This window comes from Homo sapiens, chromosome 1 (assembly GCF_000001405.40).
Source record: "Homo sapiens chromosome 1, GRCh38.p14 Primary Assembly".
NCBI classification, from domain to species: domain Eukaryota; kingdom Metazoa; phylum Chordata; class Mammalia; order Primates; family Hominidae; genus Homo; species Homo sapiens.
This window is the reverse complement of record NC_000001.11, coordinates 19,186,999-19,211,257: the sequence shown is the minus strand read 5'-3', so window position 1 is coordinate 19,211,257 and position 24,259 is coordinate 19,186,999. Positions and strand designations below refer to the sequence as shown.

At 42.3% G+C, this 24,259-nt stretch overlaps 1 protein-coding gene and 1 long non-coding RNA gene across 52 annotated transcripts in view, besides 4 other annotated features; one reads left to right on the top strand and one right to left on the bottom strand.

The window, feature by feature from the left end:
* EMC1-AS1 (EMC1 antisense RNA 1) overlaps window positions 1-872 on the bottom strand; it is a 30,319-nt gene extending 29,447 nt beyond the window's left edge. For both annotated transcript variants that reach the window (NR_135114.1, NR_135115.1), the window contains exon 1: window positions 699-872. This is a non-coding gene — a long non-coding RNA (EMC1 antisense RNA 1). The remainder of the gene's footprint in view (window positions 1-698) is intronic.
* Window positions 603-652: an enhancer, noted in NCBI's record as "active region_297". NCBI's record gives its function as "activates an Ori minimal core promoter by ATAC-STARR-seq in GM12878 lymphoblastoid cells {active_cell/tissue: GM12878}" and the evidence as "EXISTENCE:reporter gene assay evidence [ECO:0000049][PMID:35858748]".
* Window positions 903-952: an enhancer, noted in NCBI's record as "active region_296". NCBI's record gives its function as "activates an Ori minimal core promoter by ATAC-STARR-seq in GM12878 lymphoblastoid cells {active_cell/tissue: GM12878}" and the evidence as "EXISTENCE:reporter gene assay evidence [ECO:0000049][PMID:35858748]".
* The window catches only part of UBR4 (ubiquitin protein ligase E3 component n-recognin 4), a 135,757-nt gene continuing 112,489 nt past the window's right edge, over window positions 992-24,259 (top strand). For all 50 annotated transcript variants that reach the window (XM_047416518.1, XM_047416514.1, XM_047416523.1 and 47 more), the window contains exons 1-13: window positions 992-1,185; window positions 9,443-9,540; window positions 11,504-11,607; window positions 12,330-12,459; window positions 12,578-12,717; window positions 13,209-13,311; window positions 13,447-13,588; window positions 13,993-14,117; window positions 17,701-17,825; window positions 18,718-18,777; window positions 18,880-19,070; window positions 23,718-23,817; window positions 23,957-24,094. In XM_047416518.1, coding sequence (XP_047272474.1) covers window positions 1,010-1,185; window positions 9,443-9,540; window positions 11,504-11,607; window positions 12,330-12,459; window positions 12,578-12,717; window positions 13,209-13,311; window positions 13,447-13,588; window positions 13,993-14,117; window positions 17,701-17,825; window positions 18,718-18,777; window positions 18,880-19,070; window positions 23,718-23,817; window positions 23,957-24,094 — 1,632 coding nt within the window. In that variant the 5' untranslated portion in view covers window positions 992-1,009. The remainder of the gene's footprint in view (window positions 1,186-9,442; window positions 9,541-11,503; window positions 11,608-12,329; window positions 12,460-12,577; window positions 12,718-13,208; window positions 13,312-13,446; window positions 13,589-13,992; window positions 14,118-17,700; window positions 17,826-18,717; window positions 18,778-18,879; window positions 19,071-23,717; window positions 23,818-23,956; window positions 24,095-24,259) is intronic.
* Window positions 1,003-1,322: a silencer, noted in NCBI's record as "silent region_350". NCBI's record gives its function as "represses an Ori minimal core promoter by ATAC-STARR-seq in GM12878 lymphoblastoid cells {active_cell/tissue: GM12878}" and the evidence as "EXISTENCE:reporter gene assay evidence [ECO:0000049][PMID:35858748]".
* Window positions 8,420-8,921: an enhancer, noted in NCBI's record as "H3K4me1 hESC enhancer chr1:19528831-19529332 (GRCh37/hg19 assembly coordinates)". NCBI's record gives its function as "activates a minimal SCP1, AML or CMV promoter by ChIP-STARR-seq in naive H9 embryonic stem cells {active_cell/tissue: H9 hESC(naive)}" and the evidence as "EXISTENCE:reporter gene assay evidence [ECO:0000049][PMID:30033119]".

Sequence of the window (24,259 nt, the reverse complement as noted above, 5' to 3'; positions counted from 1 at the left end):
ATATCTTAATAAAAGTGCAGATTAATCACTAGGTACCAATTCATTTATCAGTGTTACACACCAAGAACAAAAGCTCTTCCTAAACTTAGGGGGAGAATTTCAGGGCTTTAGGAATTTGAAACCGTCTTCACAGTTCCTTCCCAGTCTTATTTAGGCCAGCTGTAGGCCACAGGCTAGAGCTTGAAGCCGTCCACCAATATCTCACTCACAGGACTGTCCTTAATGCACGAATACCTTTCCTCGAGCAAACTGCTTTTCCCTCTTAGACCTTGTAGCCAGATCATTTTACCGGCAAAAGTCTCAGACATCTCCTGTGAATAAAAGCTTACATTCTTTCCTTGCCAGTAGAAAAAAGGGGAACACGTAAGCATACGTGGCAAATTGCAAAGAGGGATGCATTGTACGAGCTGGTCAGATTGTTAATGAGGGCAATCCAAACAGAAGAGATTTGAGTGCTAAGGGAATACGGATCAGTGATTAAAAGGTGTTGTGAGAGGGAGAAATCTTTGTAAACTATGGCGCTCTTTAGTATTACTATTGGGGGGATCTAGGCAGGGGAAGAAGCAGGTGAAAGCGTTTTAGGCTTCGGCCTCCTCTTGTCGTCCTTAGCTGTCCCAGGCCAGGGCCATTCTATACGCCGAGGCGTAGTCAACTCTGCTGCCCTAGACTTGCCCACTGAACCCATGCCCCAGACTCACCTTTACCCGCTGCCCGGAAGCCAAGTCGCTACCACCTGCTTGAGCAACTCCCACCGCGCAGGCTCAGAAGTTAACGCTCTCCCGCCTTTCCCCGCTGCGCTACCTTCTGAGCAGGCGCAGCGTCTCCGATCCGTTCCCTCGCCGCGGCTCGACCCCGGTGAGAGCAAAGGCCGCTCCGCGCGTCGCGTTTTTGACCCATGACGGCGGCGCGCAGTCTGACGCGACAGATTGCGTCACTTCCGCCCCCTCCTGGGAGGCGGCGCTGGGCCGGTGGCAAGCCCCCGGAGGGAGCCGCAGTAGTACGACGGAAGATGGCGACGAGCGGCGGCGAAGAGGCGGCGGCAGCGGCTCCGGCGCCGGGGACCCCGGCAACGGGGGCGGACACGACCCCGGGCTGGGAGGTGGCTGTGCGGCCCCTGCTGTCCGCGTCCTACTCCGCCTTCGAGATGAAGGAGTTGCCGCAGCTGGTGGCCTCAGTCATCGAGAGGTACCGGGCGGCGGCTCTGGCGGGCGACGCTGTTGTGGGGGGAGGGGATTTCGAGCCGGATCGTCTGGACCCGCTTTCCGGGCCGCCCCCTGCCCCCTTGAGGATCCCCGCCACAGCCACGGCTTCGGGGTCCCGGGCCCGGGGAGACTGGCTTGCCTGGGTTTCCCTCCGCCAACGCATGTAAATCACCTCTACCTCAGTTTCCCCTCTCGAGCAAAACTTTAGCGGCCTCCCTGCGGGAGGGCGTGGCCGGACATGGTTGAGAGTGAGATGCATTCGCCCTCTTAAGGGAATGTTCACGGGGCTGCCCCTTGGGTCAAGTCACAGATGAGTTTGCATTTCTCGCCCGCACTCATCCTCCTAGCCTGGGCCGGAGCGGAGCCGTACGGTATAATTTAATAACGGTCTCCCCGCGGTGCTGTAATCAGTGGGGGCACGTGCTATTTCTGTGACTGAAGCCACTAGCTACATTGATGACCTCTTTTTACGTTGCACTCCTTGTGCATTCCTACTGTATCGGTCTTTGATTAAAAACATTTCAGTGTGTGTCTGAGAGATCATTTTCCCAGAGGATGTGTGGTGTGTGTGTTCTCTTGCTGCCTCCCATCCCCCTCGCATTAAAATATCATCACATTCTTTTACAAACGGTACTATCTGTTGGTTTCCTTTTGTGTGTTTTTGTCTTTTTGCACAGCGATTCTTAGCTAGTGACAGTTATGTAGGTACAAAGATGGTGATCTCAGAGTGCCTGCCTTTTCCTGACATACTGTGCTCAGAGCAGTCTTTCATTAGTTTAATGGTAGACTTTTGCTTTTAAAGCCAGACTGACTTTCATTTTTCTAGCCATACCTCATTTCAGCAACTCCCTGCAATTGTTAACTGGGTCATTTTAGCTTCACGATGACAAGGGTATATCTAGCTGCTATCCAGAGGTTAAAAATTGCTATTTGTTACTCAAAGGAGGCCCACGGTTTGACAAATTGTTTTTGTGCTTTTTCTTGTTGTAGACTTGTAATCCTTTGGATGCAGAGTTTTTAACAAATTATAATAAAATAATGGTTGAGTTTGGTAACTTCACAGTCAGCTTTACAGACGGATTTTGCTATCTAATCATCAGGCCAGGAATGTTCTGAAGATGTAAACAGGTTTCAAATATACTACTTTCAAATTACGTGGCTGCTTTTTGTTTTAAACATTTGGATTGGCAGTATTTTTCCTGACTCATACTCATGTTACGTAGAATCAGTAACGTTCCAGTCTTTTTAGAGCATTTGCTTTTATGTTTTTCTGGACATGAGCTGGATAGGTTATAAAATATTAATAATTTGTTGACACCCTTCCATAAATCCTGTATTCTGGGGCCACCTTTAAAGCTGTAATACTTAAGGAACACCCTCCAACCAAATACATCACTAGGTTTGAATTTTGCCATGTATGTGGTAGTGGTCTTTGCCATACCCTCTGTTTGTACAAATAATCAAGAGTTGTATTTGTAGACATTAATAAGATCTCTCTTTATGGCTTAGAAAATAAGTCCAAACTGATGGGTCTTTGGTAACGCATTTATTGGAAGGCAAGATCTCTTTTTTTTTTTTTTTTTTTTTTTGAGATGGATTCTTGCTCTGTCACCCAGGCTGGAATGCAGTGGCGCCATCTCAGCTCACTGCAAGCTCCACCTCCCAGGTTCACACCATTCTCCTGCCTCAGCCTCCCAAGTAGCTGGGACTACAGGTGCCTGCCACCACGCCCAGCTAACTTTTTGTATTTTAAGTAGAGATGAGGTTTCACCATGTTAGCCAGAATGGTCTCCATATCCTGACCTTGTGATCCACCCGCCTTGGCCTCCCAAAGTGCTGGAATTACAGGCATGAGCTACCGTGCCCAGCCGGAAGGCAAGATCTTTTAAGTCTTCTGGTTTTTGGAGCTCAGTTAGCTTTGAAAGCCTATGTGTCCTCTGCAGGCTGTGTGAGAGGAGTATGATCTAAAGAAAAATTTCCAGAAGAAATACCTGGCTTACAAGTTCTTTACAGTGAGAACAGCTAAACGTATCAAGTGTTCAGTTTGTTATAAAGCAGGCGTTGGCAAACGTCCTGTAAATGGCCAGATAGTAGATAATTTTGGGACATGTGGTCTCTGTCTGGACTGTTTAACTCTGCCATCATTGTGTGAAAGCAGCCACACACCATATATAAATGAATGGGCATGGCTGTGTTTAAAATTATATCTATGGGCACTGAAATTTGAATTTCATGTAATATTTACATGTCACAAACTATTCTTTTGATTTTTTTTTTTTCAACCACTCTTAGCCATACAAAAACAGGTGACTTCCTGGATTTGGCCTGCAGGCCATAGTTTGCCAACCCCTAGCTTGGAGCACACAAATTATACCCTGCTATCATTATTCTGGTTTTCAAAAGTTTTATTTATTTATTTATTTTTTGGAGACAGAGTCTTGCTGTGTCACCCAGGCTGGAGTGCAGTGGCACGATTTTACCTCACTGCAACCTACGCCTCCCAGGTTCAAGTGATTCTCGTGCCTCAGCCTCCCAAGTAGCTGGGATTATAGATGTGCGCCACCAGACCCGGCTAATTTTTGTATTTGTAGTAGAGACGAGGTTTCACCATGCTGGTCAGGCTGGTCTTGAACTTCTGACCGCAGGTGATCCGCCCGCCTTGGCCTTCCAAAGTGCTGGGATTACAGGCGTGAGCCACTGCACCCAGCCCAAAGGTTTTATTTATTTGTCTTTCTAAAAAGTAAAGGTCTCAGAATTGTGGGAGTATGTCTTGCATAGGAAGCTATAGTACCAGATGAAAGCCAACACTGTAGATGCTGAGGTGGGCCTTGTTGTCTAGCTAATCAGAGGTTGAGATGTCTAGGCTGCCACTTTAGTTCTGTGTTGCCACTCCCATCTTCTGCAGTTTCCTGGTTTTTTTCTCTTGTTAAACCTGCCATGTTTTTCTTCCTTGTCACCGGGGACCATCTGTTTTTCTGTTGCAGTCTACTACTCTCTGCTTCCTTTTTTGATATCCTGGCTCCATCATGCCAACTCTTACTTTCGACCTGGTAGCCTGCTTAGCCATTGTATTTATCTCTTGACCATTGAGAATGATGACGTGCTTGAGACTCCTCAGTACACCACATTCTACCTTCTTTTATAGTTGAAATTGACCTTTTGAAGAAAAGGTAGATTAAACGTTCCTAGGTCTAACCCCTGTTTCTTAAGTTTGACTTTGCAACCAAACTGAAATAGAGGAGGAATTGATCAACATGGATGAGTTGGAAAGCATACTCTCAAGTCATTGGATGTTTTAAAAGAAAAAGATATCTGAATTTATTTAAAGGGAAGATTTTTCTCTATAGCATGTAGCTAGCTAGCATGTCTTTTAGTAGTAAAGGCTACTAAAATATTTTTTCTTTTTTAAGAGACAGGGTTGGCTGGGCGCAGTGGCTCACGCCTGTAATCTCAGCACTTTGGGAGGCCAAGGCAGGCGGATCACCTGAGGTCAGGAGTTTGAGACCAGCCTGGCTAACATGGTGAAACCCTGTTTCTACTAAAAATACAAAAAATTAGCTGGGCGTGGTGGCGCGCGCCTGTAATGCCCATAATCCCAGCTACTCGGGAGGCTGAGGCAGGAGAATTGATTGAACCAGGGAGGCGAAAGTTGCAGTGAGCTGAGATCGCACCATTGCTATGGCAACAAGAGCAAAACTCCATCTAAAAAAAAAAAAAGAGAGACAGGGTCTCCTTCTGTTGGCTGGGCTGGAGTACAGTGGGACGATTATAGCTGACTACAGCCTCAAACTCCTGGGCTCAAGGGATGCTCCTATTTCAGCCTCCTGAGTAGTTACAGTAGCTAGCTAGACTACAGGCTCCCACCACCGGGCCCAGCTTAAACTCTTTTTTAACACTGTTACTTATTACATAGTTTAAAGAACATTTTAAACACACTGTTACTTTTCCAAGCCAGAAATGGAGCAGAACTAGCTCAATGGAGCACATACCGTCCATGGGATTAGTTAGTATAATCATTGCTGAATGTAGCCTTCTCTGTTAAGGTACAGATAATTCCTTTCTTAACTCTGTGCAAGATACGCTGGTGAGCATGGTTATCATTCGACAATTTGATTGACTCTTTGTAGATAAAAAGAAATATGCTCCTTCTCTCTGAGCCAATTCTTTCTGAGCTGACCTGGCCTTTTTAATGATAAACCTGTTCGAGGTTTCTGTTTCCAGATATTCACTAGAATTTAGGGCAAAGACACCTACTTTGGAAGGGGGAGACTGTCACAACATTCCCATTAGATAATGCACAGTCATTTCCTAAAAGTCTTCAAAGGAAGAAAGGGATGCACTAATGCTGTGATCTTTTGAATTTGTAAGCAGTAGGATGCAAATTGATAATTGACCTACAGGAAAAAAAAAAAAAAAGCCCGCCACCAAAAGATAGATTATGATTGTGAGATTAGTCTTTGTGACTACTGTTTCTATGTCTTAGTATCACATTAACCACAGATTTTTCAAGAGTATGAGGGAAGTATCTGAAAGACAGTTTTCAGTTCTTTAGTCAACATGCAGCAGATTATAGATAGAAAGATAGGAATAAGCATAATGGATTCTATATATACTAGAGAGTACATGAAACTGATGAGGGGAAAGGAGCTTGTGGAATTTCTACCATTTACAAAAAAGATTGATAGTATGATATTGAAGAGGGAGAAGGGAGGTGAATCCTTAGTCTTTTATGATGCCCCTCCTCAGATTCCATTTCTTCCTAAAAAGCTAGATTTTTCCAGACCCTGCCAGTTCTTTTTTTACTTACACATCAAATTGGATTTCTCTGACCTGTCTGCTTAGCTGCTGTTTCCCTTTGTACTCTGCATCACATTTATTTGGTATAGAGTATAAAAGCTTCAGCTTCTCTGTCTATCCACAGTGTTTCACGCTCAGCGGTGCTGTTGTTGCAGTTCATTAGGAGCGACAGGTGATTCAGGAAGATGCTTGACCAACCAGAGCAAAGATGTACTTTCACCTCTATCTCTTTATTTTCCTTCCCGTGCTTATATTTGCTTCCATTTCTTCATTCTTCTCCTTCCTACTTAACTTTTTGTCCTTTGTTCCATTTTTCCATTTCTTATTCTCTGGTGTCTTGGTGTCTTAACATTTTCTCAGGGCATGAGGGTGAGGTTGGAAATTATGGCAGCACATCCCTATTAGCTGACTCATGCACACTGTTTCTTTAAAATCAAGAGATATGACAATGTCCATTACTTCTCTATTTCCTCCTTCAAGTCTTCAAAACCAATTTTTCCCAGGTTTATCCTTAGTTGCCCAGTGCACATTATAAGTAGAGCTGAAGACCGTTCCATTTTTCCTCTGCCAATGTCTATCTTTCCCCAAAATGCATTCTTCCTGTTTCTTTATTGGAATAAGGATGTTACGTATTTCTAGGGGAGGAAGTTGGGTTCATTAGATCACAATAGGATGACACTGAACCAGGCAATTAAATGAGTTTACTCCTATATATATATATATTTTTTTTTATATATTTCATTATCAGAATGGGTATGAAAGCAATAGGCTAAGTCCATCCTTTGGGTGGGCAGTATTTCTCTTAGATTTGGTAAACCTGTTCAGCTGGAAAAAGTGGGGATAAGCAGCTCTGAACTTTGGAAATAAATCAGGAACTTTGGAAATAAACCCAGTAAAATAACATCAAATGACAGAGTGGGAAAGCCTTAGAAAAACAAATAAGAAAGTATAAGGGTGGGGCCAGGCGTGGAGGCTCATGCCTGTAATCCCAGCACTTTGGGAGGCCAAGGCAGTGGATCACGAGGTCAGGAGTTTGAGACCAGCCTGACCAACATGGTGAAACCCCATCTCTACTAAAAAAAAAATACAAAAATTAGCCAGGCGTGGTGGCACGCACCTGTAATCCCAGCTACTCAGGAGGCTGAGGCAGGAGAATCGCTTGAACCTGGGAGGTGGAGGTTGCAGTGAGCTGAGATAGTGCCACTACATTGTAGCCTGGGCGACAGAGCGAGACTCTGTCTCAAAAAAATAAAGTATAAGGCTGGAAGTAAAGGAAAAACTAAGTATATGAGGTAGAAACAGGGGGATTTAGTAGGGAGTTTTCTGCTGTACATGTGAGCCTTAAAACTGTGTTTAGTCACCAGCAACTTTTGAGTGCTGCTTGTTGTGGAAAGGTTTTTATTTTCTCCTTTTTATGTACCCTGACAAATGGAAAAGGACCCTTAGTGGGCAGGAGGATCCTTGCACACATCATAGATGCTCCATAAATATTTTTTTCTTGGTGAAGGAGTTATTCTAAGGGACTAATCTTTGATACATACCCATTTATCCTTGATCTGCATATAGCAAAGTGCTCGCAATGCCAGACTCTCAAGTGTTATTCAAGGTGATTCATCACCGACATTGGCACCTTCCAAATAGTGACTTGTCCTTTTGGCTCCTGTGTTCATTTGGCAGGCAGATAGTCTTGCAGGCAGTGAATGGAGTGTTCACTCTGTTTACATTTCCCTTCTTAGGATGATACTTTTTTTTTTTTTTTGAGTTGGAGTCTTACTCTTTTGCCCAGGCTGGAGTGCAGTGGCACAATCTCAGCTCACTGCAATTCCACCTGCCGGGTTCAAGCAATTCTCGTGCCTCAGCCTCGTGAGTAGCTGGGACTACAGGTGGGTGCCACCACACCTGGCTAATTTTTGTATTTTTATTAGAGACGGGGTTTCACCATATTGGCCAGGCTGGTCTCGAACTCCTGGCCTCAGATAATCCACCAGCCTCTGTCTCCCAAACTGCTGGGATTACAGGCTTGAGCCACCAGCTACAATGCGTCCCACCATAGGTTGATACTTCTGCTGGGGATTGACTCACTAAGTAAACTGTTCAACCACACTGTTGTTCTTTCCATTTAATAAAATATATTTTAGTCTTTGCTTTACCTTCATGTTTCTTTCTTTTTTTTTTTCTCTGAGACGGAGTCTCGCTGTCACCCAGGCTGGAGTGCAGTGGCCCGATCTCGGCTCACTGCAGCCTCTACCTTCTGGGTTCAAGCAATTCTCTACCTCAGCCTTCTGAGTAGCTGGGATTACAGGCGCGTGCCACCACCTGCTAATTTTTGTAATTTTAGTAGAGACAGGGTTTCACCATCTTGGCCAGGCTGGTCTTGAACTCCTGATCTCGTCATCCACCTGCGTGGACCTCCCAAAGTGCTGGAATTGCAGGCATGAGCCACCACACCCGGCCAGCCACCGTGCCCGGCCCATGTTTCATCAATTGTGGATTAGCACCTGATTTGATACAATGACTTTAAATGTATCCAGCCTTTAAACCTAGTTGGTCTCTAGATTTTTTCAGAAGAGGGCATTTCCCCAGCTAAGGATAAGGGATGTGGTTAAAAAAAAAAATCACCGACTCTTTTGTGATCTCGCTTTAGTCTACAGTCAGGGGGATGGTGTAGGGGATAACTCTGTTATCCAGTGAATTTTGGACTTTAGCACTGATCATATGACTTCTTATCTTGAGTTGTTGATTCCTTTTAAGTTACTGCATTACAGGCCAGCCTTATTTGGTCTAAAATTGGTTACTTTAGTCTGTATTCCCACTAACAGTATATTGAGTATTCTGGTCTGCCCCTTTTTGGCTATCAATAATGAAGGCATATTAGCTGTTGGTCTTTGCCAGTCAGTAATATAGAACAGATTGATATCCTGTTAGGTCTTTACTTGCATTTCGTTAGTTCTGCTTGACTTTGAAAATGTTTTCTGTTTGTTAGTCTCTGCTTCTTCCCTAGCCTGATGACCTTGAATGAGATATTTAATTTTAATTCTCTAAGCTTCACCTTCCCAATCTTTTTTTGAGATGAAGTCTTGCTCTATCACCCAGGCTGGAGTGCAGTGGTTCAATATCGGCTCACTGCAACCTCTGCCTCCCAGGTTCAAGCAATTCTCCTGCCTCAGCCTCCTGAGGAGCTGAGACTATAGGCACGTGCCACCACGCCCAGCTGATTTTTGTATTTTTAGTGGTGACGGGTTTTCACCATACTGGCCAAGCTGGTCTTGAACTCCTGACCTCAGGTGATCCACCTGTCTCATCTTTCCCAGTCTTGAAGGGGAATAGGTTGATGATACTATCTACCAGGTAGTAAGGATTAAATAATGTAATATCCATAAAGGGGTATCTGGCACATAGTAAGCGCTAAGCAGATGCTGGCTGAATTATTATTATTTTTACAGTGAATCAGAAATCCTGCACCATGAGAAGCAGTACGAGCCATTCTACTCATCTTTTGTTGCACTTTCCACACACTATATTACAACAGTTTGCAGTCTCAGTAAGTATTCCACTCTTGTCCTTCCCTTCTGAGGGCTTGTGAATAGGGGGATTGTTTATCCTCTCGTTAGTGTATCTGAAAAAGTTGTTAATGAAGTCTAGGTTTTAGCACTCCTAAGCTGCTCACCCAAGAGTAGAGACAACTGTCAGCTAGGATGAGGCTCCAGAGGTTCCCTTACCTAGGCTAACCAAGTGGAATTTTAAAACTACTTGGCTTGGACACCTGCTTTATAAGTATTAAGTCCACCTCCTTTCCCTTCTTAATCCAAAGCATTTTATTGATTTCTCATGTAATTACTGGTGTGTTAATTTCCCTGGGGGGAAGGCGGTGGTGGATACTGACCTCTGGAGTTAGCAGCCACTCAAGGCTCTATTCCTTATTTGGTTTTGGTGAGGATGTGGATTCTCCTTTGTGTTCTCTGGTATATGAAGGGATTTCAACTTCAGTTCTCCATTTTCTTCATTTTTCTACCCCCAAAATGGCTAATCCCTATTTTACATTTCTGAATTTTTACATTTGTCTAAAATCTTGACTCAAATAGTTCTGAAGAATTCTAATTATTTTAAATTTGCTTTTTTAGAGACAGGGTCTTGCTCTGTCATCCAGGCTGGAGTGCAGTGGCGTGATCATAGCTCACTGCATCCTTGAACTCCTGGGCTCTAGTGATTCTCCTGCCTTAGCCTCCTCAGTCCTAGCTGGGACTACAGGCACAAGCCACCAAGCCCAATTAATATTTTATAGTGACAGGGTCTCTCTATGTTGCCCAGGCTGGTCTGGAAGTCCTGGGCTCAAGCAGTCCTCCCAGCTTAGCCTCCCAAAGTGCTGGGATTACAGGCAGGAGTCCCCATATTTGTTTATTTGAACAGTTTGCTAAGCAAGTAAACTGAAAGGACATTGAAGAATTAGTGTATTTTTTGTGTGGCCCAAGACAGTTCTTCCAGTTGCTGAGGAATCCTTCAGTGTCCAATACTGTTTATTATAAGCTCTGGCTACTGGCAGAAGAATCAGTTTTAGCTTGGAGAAACTTTATGTAAGGAAGTCATTTTATTTTTTTAAGTTATACTTAAAATTTTTATCCATTTATTTATTTATTTTGAGATCGGGTTATGAGACTAATTTTTGTATTTTTGGTAGAGATGGGGTTTGACCATGCTGGCCCAAGCTGGTCTCAAACTCCTGGGCTGAAGTGATCCACCCGCCTCAGCCTCCCGAAGTGATCCACCCACCTCAGCCTCCCGAAGTGCTGGGATTATAGGTGTGAGCCACTATGCCTGACCAGGACGTCATTTTAGAATCCATGGGAATACTACTACAATAGTAGTATTGTCTAGTGCAAGCTTGTCCAACCCACAGCCTGAGGACCATGTGATGGCTTTGAATTTGGCCCAACACAAATTCATAAACTTTCTTAAAACATTATGAGATTTTTTTTTTTGCCTTTTTTTTTTTAAAGCTCATCAGCTATTGTTACTGTTAGTGTATTTTTTGTGTGACCTAAGACAATTCTTCCAGTGTAGCCCAGGGAAGCCAAAAGATTGCACACTCCTGGTTTAGTGGTTAAGAGCATGAACTCTAGAGGCTGACTGCCTGGATTTAAACCTAGCTATGTGACTTTTGTCAAGTCATTTAGTTAGCTCAGCTGTTAAAAATGGACAGGGATAATATGAATATCTGCCTCATAGAATTGGTTTAAGAATTAAATGAGTTAATACCTTTGAAGTGCTTGGCACTGGTGTGATGTAAGTATTTCCTATTATAGTTATCCTGATTTCTAGTAAATATGAGATAAATTGATCTGGTAGTTATTGATGTCAAAATGCCTTTGTTTACCCCTTGGGTTTTTGGCTCTGAATAATTGTTACGATATTGGGAATGTTGGACATAGAGCTCAATACTTACTTTGCTTAATTTATTGACCAACGCTGAGCAGTCTGAAATTGAGTAATGTTTATTACTTTCTCAGTTCCCCGGAACCAACTTCAGTCAGTGGCAGCAGCCTGTAAAGTTCTAATTGAGTTTTCTCTCCTGCGTCTGGAGAATCCAGATGAGGCTTGTGCTGTGTCCCAGGTGAGAGTGATGGGCCCATTTCTTGCCCTATTCTGAAGCAGTGTTGTGACTGACTAGTGGAATAGAGTAGAGGTCAGTGAACTTTTTCTGTAATAGGCCAGATAGGAAATCATTTGCAGGCTGTATGTTATCTGTTGCAGCTAGTTAACTATGCCTTTTTAGTGTGAAAGCAGCCATAGATTAATATATAAATGATGAACATGGCTGTGTTCCAGTAAACTTTATTTACAAAAACAGGCAGTGTTTGAATTGGAGCTGTAGTTTGCCAACCTCTGGTACATGGGGCTACAGAGTCTTCTCAAGGATTGCAAACTTACATACCTGCAGGGGCCAGGTAGGTAACAGAAAATGAGTAAAGTGTGCTAGTTGAGAAGATTGCAGGTCCCAACTAAAGGGGCTAACCACTATTTGGCTCTGGGTTATTACTGCCATGCAGGAATGGAGGTGCAAGGTTGCTATACTGTGAATTATTTGAGCGTGAGAATTTCAGATTTGCATGTGAATCTTTTCATTCCCTTCAAATTTTAAAAAAATATTGTGAGAACAATAAGACAAATCTATAAGCTACATACGGTCTAAGGACATCAGCTTGCAGTCTTTGCTTTAGTGTTTATATGAACCTAAATTTGGCCCTGTGCCAGTTAGAATTTCCAAAAGAGTAGAATTTTCTGAAAGATCTATTTGTTTTTGTTTTCTTTTGTTTGCATTTGTTTTCTTTTCAGAAACACTTGATTCTCCTAATCAAGGGCCTGTGCACTGGCTGTAGCCGACTAGATAGAACTGAAATTATCACATTTACAGCAATGATGAAATCCGCCAAGCTGCCCCAAACAGTGAAGACACTTTCAGACGGTGGGTGTTCCTTTGACAGATCTGATCACATGACCACCCCCATGGCACCTTTTCCATGGCACCTTTGCCTTCTAGTGGCACTTTCCTCAGCCCTTTTTTTTGCCTTTGTATTTTACAGTGGAAGATCAGAAAGAGCTGGCCTCACCAGTAAGCCCTGAGTTGAGGCAAAAGGAGGTACAGATGAATTTTTTGAACCAGCTGACCTCAGTTTTTAACCCTAGAACTGTAGCATCACAACCTATCAGTACACAGACTCTGGTGAGTTTCTTTAGTCAAATGTCTTCTTCTCTGTGGGTTTTGTTAAGATGATAACACTAGGGGAGAAAAAGTGATGTATTTTATGTTTGTGATATAAAATGATATACATGTCTGTGGGACAAAAGAAATTGAGGAATACAAAATAAAACAAGTAAAATTCACCCCAACTCCTTCTTCTGTCCACGGTTATTACTGTTTTGACGACCATTCTAGGCTTCTCTCAATGCAAATTAACAAATGTAAGGTGTATGTACAGTTTTCTATATAAAGGCATCACTCCATTTTGGTTATAGAACATATATATATTTTAAAGCTGTATATTTTTTCCCTCCTCCTGAAAATGTAACCTGTATTTTCTCCAACATGAGTAAGGAATTTTCCCTTCACTAACTGGGGAGTCTGGAGAGTATCCGTGCAGCTACTGCTCACTTTTGACAGTTGGTTTGGTGAAGAGATAATAGTATCTTGACAGGCCTTATGTTTCTTTTCAGGTGGAAGGAGAAAATGATGAGCAGTCATCTACAGATCAAGCCTCAGCTATCAAAACCAAGAATGTGTTCATAGCTCAGAACGTGGCTAGTCTTCAAGAGCTTGGTAAGACTCCCAACTGTTATCAGAAAGCTGATTTCTGGGCTGTCAAAAATTCCTTAAGTGTGCTTCTGTCATATGGATAAGAATCAAGCATCAGACAAAGGCCTGTTTGTAAGGTTGTGGTTTTCATTCATTTAGGTGGCTCGGAGAAGCTACTGCGTGTATGTTTGAACCTGCCATATTTCCTACGCTATATCAATCGGTTCCAAGATGCAGTTTTAGCTAATTCCTTCTTCATAATGCCTGCAACAGTAGCAGATGCCACTGCTGTTCGTAATGGGTAAGGTGCTTCACAGTGCACATGCTTTACTTTTTTTGTTTTTGGGACAGGGTCTTGTTCTGTCACCCAGGCTGGAGTGCAGGGGTGCAGTCTCGGTTCACTGTAACCTCGTCTCCTGGTTCAAGCAGTTCTCCCACCTCAGCCTCCTGAGTAGCTGGGACTACAGGCACACACCACCATGGCTGGCTAATTTTTGTATTTTTTGTAGAGTCGGGGTTTTGCCTTGTTGCCCAGGCTGGTCTTGAACTCCTGGGCTCAAGCAATCCTCCTGCCTTGGCCTCCTGAAGTGTCGGAATTATAGGCGTGAGCCACTGTGCCGGGCCCATGCTGATAATTTCTTTAACTGTCACATTATAGAAGTGAATGATTCTAAGAGACACTTGTTGATCTCTGTCATGTTCCAGCTTTCATTCATTGGTGATTGATGTAACTATGGCATTGGATACCCTTTCTCTACCTGTGTTGGAACCTCTCAATCCTTCTCGTCTACAAGATGTGACAGTCCTCAGCCTAAGTTGTCTGTATGCAGGTGAGAAGTTATTATATCTGGTCTCATTTTCTCAGTCAAGCAGAGATATACTTTCAGGAAACCATGAAAATCCTCCTGAATACTCTACTCATCCCCCTTGCTTCCTTCTCTCAAGGATCATCTAACGTCGCATCAAGGTGAAATGAGGTCTCAATAGGAATCTTTGTAAATGGTCCTGTTGTTTCACTGCTGCCATTGCGTTATAGGCATATTTGATTTTATAGTATGTGCAGATACTAAATATTTACTATATGAAAAGCAAATTGCCTAAGACTGTTGAGATATTGAGATGAACTACATGTAGTCTCTGCCCTCAAGGAGCCTACATCTGAGCAGCAGAGAACACATAAAGCTAAATAGTATAATATAAAACAGTATTAAAGGCAATAGAAGTATAGAATATTTTCGGTACACAGAGAAGAGAGGGATTGAGTCTTGCTGTGGGATCAGGTTTGAAGAAGGCTTCGTGGAACAGGTGGTATCTGTTTATACTGATAAATGCGAAGAATGATATTCTTTAAGCTTCCATAAAATCCCCTTTTTTCCTGTTGATCTTACTGCCTTTGAAGCAGGGCCTGACAGCTGGTGTTTACTCTCTTTTAAGTTATTGTTAAAAGGACTTTTTAGCCCAGATCACTGATCCTTGGCTTTAAGTTCCGAGACATATCATATCTCTGGTATGTCTTGGAAGTTATAGCAATTTCAGAAGTTTACTTGGTTTTGCAAGTGAAGATTTGAGCAGATAGTCTTGGAGACCTGACCTTGGGGACACCATGAAATTACTGAGGTTGATCTCCCTACATTCTCTGAACAGTTTTAATTTGAACATCTGTGTGTGAATAGGAAGATAAAGATAAAGGCATTTGTGCTCTCAGAGACCTTACTGTCTTTTAGAGGATATTAGTAAATAACTTATAAGTGAAGAAACTGAATGAGAGATGAGAAAGTACTTTGGAAGTTTAGAGGAGGGAGAGCTCACTTTCAGTTGAGAAAGGCAGTAATCATGAAGGAGCTCTGATGTTGAATCTTAAGTCAGGTAGGATCTCGGCTTGGCTATTTCTAGGCAGAGGCAGAAGCAGACAAAACGTATCCAAGAGTTTGGGGGAACATACTACGTAAGTTTGTGTGTGTGTGTGTGTGTGTGTGTGTGTGTGTGTGTGTGTGTGTGTGTATAAGTAAGTCTGTAGGTTTTATGGCTGTTCGTGGGTGTTGTATAATTGGACAGAAAGTAAGACTCAATTAGAAATGCAGACTAAGTCATTTGGACCATATCCTGTAGATAGTAGAGACCATTAAAGATTCTGAGCTGTGAGAGGATCTGAGCTATATTTTAGGAAGAACATTCAGGCTGTACTGTACAAGGTATTTTGGTGTGGGGAAATATTGGAGGCAGGGAAACTACTTAGGAGGAATTGGCAGTCATTCAGGCAGCGTACATTTAGGGCCTCAGCTAGGGCAGCAGCATTAAGAGTAGAAAGTTAAGGATACATGTGAAAATATGTTCTCTCATAGCTAATTTCCAGTATTGAGCTTCCTCATGCTCTACCGTTGATTTTGCATTTTTAAATTTGGGGTTTATTTATTTTGATTTCCAGGGGATTTCATTACCCTCACATGGATCTCAATGTACTCAGTCAGTAAGTGATTAAAGTCAGTAAGGACTAGAGATTCTTTAAAAATTCATAGTCGGATTAAAGATCCCAAATCTGGTTTGTTAAAATTTGATCACTTGGGATTTGATTTAAGGAAAGGGATTTGGCTATGATGTCTTTGAGAAATTCCAGGTATAGGATTTTTTTTTCATAATCTTAAAATTTATTTTTAATTTTTTGAAATTATTAGATTTTACTATTATTATTATTATTATTATTATTTTGAGATGGAGTCTCGCTCAGTCGCCCAGGCTGGAGTTCAGTGGCACAGTCTTGGCTCACTGCAAGCTCCACCTCCTGGTTTCACGCCATTCTCCTGCCTCAGCCTCCCTTGTAGCTGGGACCACAGGTGCCCACTACCATGCCCGGCTAATTTTTTTTTTTGTATTTTTAGTAGAGACGGGGTTTCACCATGTCAGCCAGGATGGTCTCGATCTCCTGACCTCGTGATCCGCCCGCCTTGGCCTCCTAAAGTGCTGGGATTACAAGCGTGAGCCACCGTGCCTGGCCAGATTTCATTATTTATTTATTTATTTATTTAAGAAATACAGTCTTGCTATGTTGCCCAGGCTAGATTTGAACTGTTAGGCTCAAGTGATCTTCTCACCTCAGCCTCTGGAGTCGACTGTGCCTGCTTCTAGATTTTAAATTTAGTGAATGAATTAATTATTTAATTATAATTTTTTTGAGATGGCATTTCGCTCTTTTGCCCAGGCTGGAATGCAATGGCTCAATCTTAGCTCACTGTAACCTCTGCCCCCCAGGTTCAAGTGATTCTCCTGCTTCAGCTTCCCGAGTAGCTGGGATTATAGGCGCCTGCCACTTCGCCTGGCTAATTTTTGCATTTTTAGTAGAGATGGGGTTTCACCATGTTGGCGAGGCTGGTCTCAGACTCCTGACCTCAGGTGATCCACCCACCTGGGCCTCCCAAAGTGCTAAGATTACAGGCGTGAGCCACCGCGCCCAGCCTTAATTATTTATTTTTATTACTTTTTTAAAAAGAGACAGAATCTTAGTGTTTCAGCCAGGTGGGAGTGCAGTGGAGCGATTATAACTCACTGTAGCCTCAAACCCCTGGGTGCAAATGATCCTCCCACATCAACCTCCTGAGTAACTGGAACTAGAGGCATGCACCACCACACCTGGCTTAGATTTTATTTTTAAAGCAATTTTAGGTTCATAGAGTTCGCATATCCTCCTTCTCCCTTATAGCTAGTTTCTCTTATCAGTAATACTTTTAATTAGTACGGTGGATTTATTATTGATGAACCAGTATTGATATATTATTATTAACTGAAGTCCATAGTTTACATTGGGGTTTCATTTTTGTGTTGTACAGGTCTATGGGTTTTGACAAATGTATAGTGTCATGTGTCCATGATTACCATATTGTACAAAATAGTTTCACTATCCTAAAAATCCCCTTTGCCTATTCATTCCTTATCCCATCCCTCGACCCCTGGTAACACCACTGATCTCCACTGTCTCTCTAGTTTTACCTTTTCTAGAATGTCATGTAGTTGGAATCATACAATAAGCAGGATTTTCAGATTGGCTTCTTTCTCTTAGCAGTATGCATATAGTTCCTCCATGTCTTCTCATGGCTTAATAGTCCATTTCTTTTTATTGCTGAATTAATATTCCATTGTATGGATATACCACAGTTTGTTTCTGTGTTCTCCTATTGAAGGACATTCGTGTGTAGTGTGTGTGTGTGTGCGCGCGTGTAAGTTTTCAGCTTATTTGGATAAATACCTAGGAGTCTGGTTACTGAATTGTATGGTAAACCTATTTAGTCTTGCTCTTAATGGCATTTATTTTAAGTAGTCAAATCATGGAATTGCTTGTGGGTGGGGTGTGCTTTTGTGTTTCAGCTTTGGTGGATTCTTGGATGCACTCCATGGCTGAGACCTGTGCATCTTCTTTTTCAGGTGTGAGTGTGGCAACGTGCATGGCCATCCTCCATGTGGGTAGTGCCCAGCAAGTGCGGACAGGGTCCACGAGCTCCAAAGAAGATGACTATGAAAGTGACGCAGCTACAATTGTCCAGAAATGTGTAAGCCAAAGATCTGGGGATAAGGGAACCTTGATTGTTCAAATGAGGGAGTATGGCCAGTTCCACTTTCTTCCATGATAGAAGAAAGAACTTAGAGTATTCTCCACACTACTTTCCCTGGGCACTAGTAGGTCTAAGAGGTAGGCATCCAGCTTGTTGATTTGGTATATTGGTTGATCTGGTATATTGTTTCCCTATCTCTGTAGAACACACTTGAAAGATTAGCCATTAATTCAGCAAATATGTTTGAGGGCCTACTGTGTGTCAGTGTACTTTTAGGGAAATGCAGTAAACAGGAAAATTTCCGATAGTGATTAAGTGCGCTGAAACAATACATTGTGATTGATAGTGATCTGGGCCGGGTGTGGTGACTCACACCTGTGATCCCAGTACTTTGGGAGGTGGGTGGATCACCTGAGGTTAGGAGTTCAAAACCAGCCTGGCCAGCATGGTGAAACCCTGTCTCTACTAAAAATACAAAAATTAGCTGGGTGTGGTGGTGCATGCCTGTAATCCCCGCTACTCTGGAGGCTGAGGCAGGAGAATCGCTTGAGCCTGGGAGGTGGAGGTTTCAGTGAGCCGGGATCACGCCATCGTACTCCAGCCTGGACAACAAGAGTGAAACTCCGTCTTAAAAAAAAAAAAGTGATCTGATGTGGAGCTGGGCATGCTGCTTTTGATTCGGAGGAGGGATGGCTTCTGAGAAGGTGACATTTGATCCAAATGAAAAGAGGGAGTCAGCTCCATGTGAAGGTCAAGGAAAGTACGATGGAATGTATCATTGAAAAGAGGATATTGAACTCTTCAAGTTAAATTGTTTGGGTAGGATTTAGCATTTATGATGAAATCTGTCAGCTTGTTCAGATTTTTGTGTCTGTTTGATATTGTACAGCTCGAAATCTATGACATGATTGGACAAGCAATCAGCAGTTCTCGCCGGGCTGGTGGTGAGGTAAGAAGCGTATCTGTCTCTGCTGCATACTTCCTATCTTGTCCTCTCTGAGATGTAAATATCTCTATGATTATGTTTTTTATTTTGTGCCTTTCACAACAGCACTATCAGAATTTCCAATTGCTGGGTGCTTGGTGCTTGTTAAACAGCCTTTTCCTCATACTGAACCTCAGTCCTACTGCGTTGGCTGATAAGGGGAAAGAGAAGGACCCACTGGCTGCCCTCCGAGTCAGAGACATCCTTTCTCGTACTAAAGAGGGAGTGGGCTCCCCTAAACTGGGGCCTGGAAAAGGGTATGTGTCTACTTGATTATAACTTATATTTTGTTTTATTTCGCTAACATTTTATATTTACAGGGAGCTAGTATGACTTCATATCAATAGGAAAATTTGCCTTCCTACCTGGCTTGAATTTAGCAACTAAGATAATGATCATGACCTGTTATCTCCACAGCATAGCTTTGTGATTTTTAGATAAGTCACTCATTCTCTTTGATTCTATTTCCTCATCTGTCAAAGGGGAAAAATATCTGTGCAATGTGTATTTCAGGAATTTTATGAAGTTCACATCAGAAAAACATGTTTCTGTCTTGTAAAGCGGGCTTGTTTGACTTGGAGTTGAGTACTTGCGTGTATAACCTGTAAGATGAGAATATTGTCAGGGCCTCCTGGTTTGCTTCCTGTAATATTTGCTGTTGTTTTGATGAACTCTGAAAGAAGAGATATGACCAATGTACTGTTCAGGTTTCGTTTTCTAAGCCCAGGTGTTTCTGGATTTTATTTTTTCATTCAATCCCTATTATATACTAGGCCCTATTCTAGGCATTGAGGATATAGCACTAAACAAAGTGATGTCCTTGCCTTTATGGAGTTTATTTTATATCTGGAGAAACAATGAACAAATCTATTAACGAGTAGATTATAGATAATCATATATAAACGTTGTGAAGAAAAAGATGTCAGAGCGAGGGGCCGGAGAGTCATAGGGGCTTTTATTATTTTATTTTTTTTGAGACATAGTCTCCCTCTGTTGCCCATGCTGGAGTGCAGTGGCGTGATTGTGGCTCACTGTAACCTCCACTTCGCGGGTTCAAGCAATTCTCATGCCTCAGCCTCCCAAGTAGCTGGGATTACAGGTGAATGCCACCACACCCAGCTAATTTTTGTATTTTTAGTAGAGACGGGGTTTCACCATGTTGGCCAGGCAGGGTCTCGAACTCTTGGCCTCAAATGATCTGCCCACCTCAGCCTCCTAGAGTGCTGGGATTACAGGTGTGAGCCACTGCGCCCAGCCCAGGGCTATTATTTTAGTTATTTAGTTATTTAGGATGATCCAGAAAGGGCTCCAAAGACATGATGTAGAGACCATATGTGAAGTGACAGAGCTATGTAAGTATTTGGGGTAGAATTGTTCAGGTTTGAGATGGAAGTATCATTGACATTTCTGAGGGTCAGCAAGGTCAGTGTGGCTAAAATGGAGAAACCAAGGTGGGAGAGTGGTAGAAAATTAGGTCAGACAGGTAGCCAGTGGCCAGATCACCTAGGGCCAAGTGCAGTCAGTAACTGTTAGAAGGATTAAACAAGGGAGAGATGCAACCTGATTTATTGGTGATCTGAGGATAGACTGCAGGGCATAAGATAAGAAGGAGGGAGAACAGTTAGCAGCGAATGCATCATTCCAGATGAGATATGAAGGTGACTTGGATAGGGTGGTGCGGCAAAGGCTGAGAAAAGAGGCCGAATTGAAATATATTTGGAAGGTACAGCTGGCAGGATTTACTGATGGCTTGTATGTTGGGTGTGAAAAAGATGACATCACAATTTTTTGGCTTGAGGTCACTGGGTTGTATAATTTACTGATACTGGGAACACTTGTTTAGGAGTGGGTTGAATGGGAAGATGGGGAAGAAATAAAAACGTAATATTGGCCATGCTGAGTGTAAGATGACTGTCAGACCTCTATGTGAGATGTTGAGTGGGCAGTTGGATATGTGAGTCTGGAGTTTCAGGAAGAGGTCACAGCCTGGACTGCATTAACAAATTACCCTCTGAGCATCTTCTGTGTCCCAGGCTCTGTGTTAGTTCTGGATTGCTGTGATGAACATAAAAATGGACATATTCTCAAGAGACATGAACTAGGTATCCATACAAATATATATATATATATATTTTTTTTTTTTTTTTTTTTTGAGGCAGAGTCTCGCTCTGTTGCCCAGGCTGGAGTGTAGTGGTGCAGTCTCAACTCACTGCAACCTCTGCCTCCCAGGTTCAAGCAATTCTTGTGCCTCAGCCACCAGGTAGCTAGGATTACAGGTGTGTACCACCATGCCCAGCTGATTTTTTTTTTTTGTATTTTTAATAGAGTTGGGGTTTCGCCATGTTGGCTAGGCTGGTATTGAACTCCTGGCCTCAAGTGATCTGCCTGCCTCAGCATCCCAAAGTGCTGGGATTACAGGCATGAGCCAATCTGCCTGGCCATGTCAAATTGTATCTAGAGAGTATTAGAACAGGGGCATTTGACCTGGCTAGGGACATCAGAGCAGGCTTCCCCAAGGAATTGCTAATTAAGCTGAAATCTGAAGCCGGTATTGACATGGTAAGTTGATAGATACTAGGCGAAGTAAGGAGGTAAGAGTGTTCCAGAGCAAACGGTAGTTTGTGATTTTATGAGTGGCCATTTTCATTCTTGGCATTGTAAAGGGAAATGAAAGAATGCCAAGAAGTATATCCTTAGAAGTAGCAGTTATGCTTTTAAAATGGCTGTTGTTTCTTCATATTTTAAAAGAATACATGTATGTTGTATAAGTGACAAGCCATACAGATGGACATAAATAGGAAAGGTAAAAATGATCCCAAATTCTACCACTCAAATTGGTAAACATTCCTTCAGACATTTTTCTGTGCACATATAAAATATATATAAGTTTACAAAAATGGGATCAGTGTATATGAAATACTGCATCATCTTTTCAGTGACACTATTAAAATGTCTAAGTTTTTAATGGCCAGCAGTATTCCACTATGTAAATATACCGTAGTTGCCTAATTCCCCTATTGCTAAGCGCTTATTTAGATTGTTCCAAATGTCTTGTTTTGATAACTTCCTGAAATATAAACTTTTGGGAACTTAATTGTCCTGTTGGGATGAATTCCCAAAAGTACCGTTGTTAGGACAAAGGGCTCACATATTTAAACATTGGAAATGTTTTGTCAAACTACTCGTTAGAAAAGTAACACTAATCTGCATTGACACCAGCTGTGTGCTTATATGCCCATTTCCCCATGCTCTCTTTGACAATGGGCATCATTAGTCTTCATGTTTGCTTGTCTTAGAGGAGAGAATGCTATGATATTTCATGTATTTGTATTTCTTTGATTACTAATGTGATTGTATTTCCTTTCACCTATTTATTGGTCATTTGTATTTCTTTTGTAAACTGCCTTATGTCCTTTGCCTTGGTTTTCTTTTTGGTATTTGTCATTTTCTTTTTAATTTTTTTATTATTATTTTTACAGAGGTAGAGTCACTTTGTCTCCTAGGCTAGAGTGCAATGGTAGGATTATAGCTCACTGTAACCTTGAACTCCTGGGCTCTGGTGATCCTCCCACCTCAGCCTCCTGAGTAGCTAGGACTACAGGTGTGCACCACCATGCCCAGCTAATTTTTAAAATTTTTTGCAGAGATGGGATCTTGCTGTGTTGACCAGGCTGGTCTTGCACTCTTGGCCCCAAGCAATCCTCCTGCCTTGGCCTCCCAAAGTGCTGGGATAATAGATGTGAGCCACCGCATCTGGCCTGTGTTTGTTCTTTTTTCTTTTTGATTTATATGAACTTGCAAATCATATATATTAACCTTTTGTTATGTGGAGATTTTGGACAGGAGGAAAACACTTTACTTGAATGTAATTTTCTTTTCTCTCTTTTGTTTTAAACAAAACCTCACTCTATCGCCCAGGTTGGAGTGCAGTAGTATGAACACAGTTCACTGCAGCCTCCACCTCCTGGGCTCAAGTGATCCTTCTGCCCCGGCCTGTTGGGTAGCTGGCACCACAGGTGTGCCTCACCACTTCTGGCTAAGTTTTTCATATTTTGTAGAGATGGGGTCTTGCCATGTTGCCCAGGTTGGTCTTGAACTTCTGGGCTCAAGTGATCTTCCCACCTTGGCCTCCCCAAGTGCTGGGATTATAGGCATGAGCCACTGCTCCAGGCCTCTCTTTTTATTCTCTTAGATTTGTTTCCAGATATTTTATAGAAGTTGGTAATTCAAACCTTTTTCTTTTCAAAATAATGATTCTTTAAAAGTTCAATCTACATTTAAAAGTCAGCATCTTTGTATAACCCATTAGCCTTGAACTGATTGTTTAAATTCCAAAAATTTTTCCATTTGGGAGTTTCTTCTATTCCAGGAGGTTTTATTTATTTATTTATTTATTTATTTATTTATTTATTTAATTTTTTGTTTTGAGACAAGGTCTTGTTCTGTCACCCAGGCTGGAGTGCAGTGGTGCACCTCAGCCTCCCAAGTAGCTGGTACCATAGGTACATGCCACCATGCCTGGGTAACTTTTTAATTTTTTTGTAGAGACAGGGTCTCCCTCTCTAGGTTGCCAAGCTGGTCTAAAATTGCTGGGCATAAGTGATCCTCTCATCTCGGCCTCTCAAAAGTGTTGGGATTTAAGGTGTGAGCCACCGTGCCCAGCCTAGTCCAGGAGTTCTAAACCTGAAGCCTGCAGATCCTTAGGCCATCTGTGGATGGGGTTCAAGGAGATTGTGAACTTCAGAAATTATATGCAGATGTATGTATGTACAATTTTTTTTTTCTGAAGGTCCACAGAGTCTGAAAGGGGTCTGAAACCCCAAAATGGCAAGATCCACTGCTTCAGAAGTTGTAATTTATTGTTAATTATTTTAAGGATTGTGTTTTCCTTTTTCTTTGTGTAGGCATCAGGGATTTGGGGTACTCTCAGTAATATTGGCAAACCATGCCATCAAACTGCTAACGTCTCTCTTTCAAGACCTACAAGTGGAGGCCCTTCACAAGGTGAGGAGGTTATCCCCATGGTAATCAGCATATTGATTGCGGGATCCACTTCTGGCCAAGCAAGCTTGATCCATCAACTCAAGTTGTTTTTTCTGGCTGAGTAGTATCATTAATTGCCCTTTGATATCATTGCCTTCAGGGTTGGGAGACAGATGGCCCCCCTGCAGCCTTGAGCATTATGGCCCAGAGCACCTCCATACAGAGGATTCAACGGCTGATTGACTCTGTCCCACTGATGAACCTGCTCTTGACGTTACTTTCAACTTCCTACAGAAAGGTGGGTGGGAGTTAAGCCATTGATAATTTAGAAGAATGTCTCATTTTATATATATGATATATATATGTATATATATATATATATATAAAACTTTCTTGAAATGAATAAGACTGACTACACACCATGACCTTTATAGACCCAAAGTTTTGGTACTGGTGTTGAAGA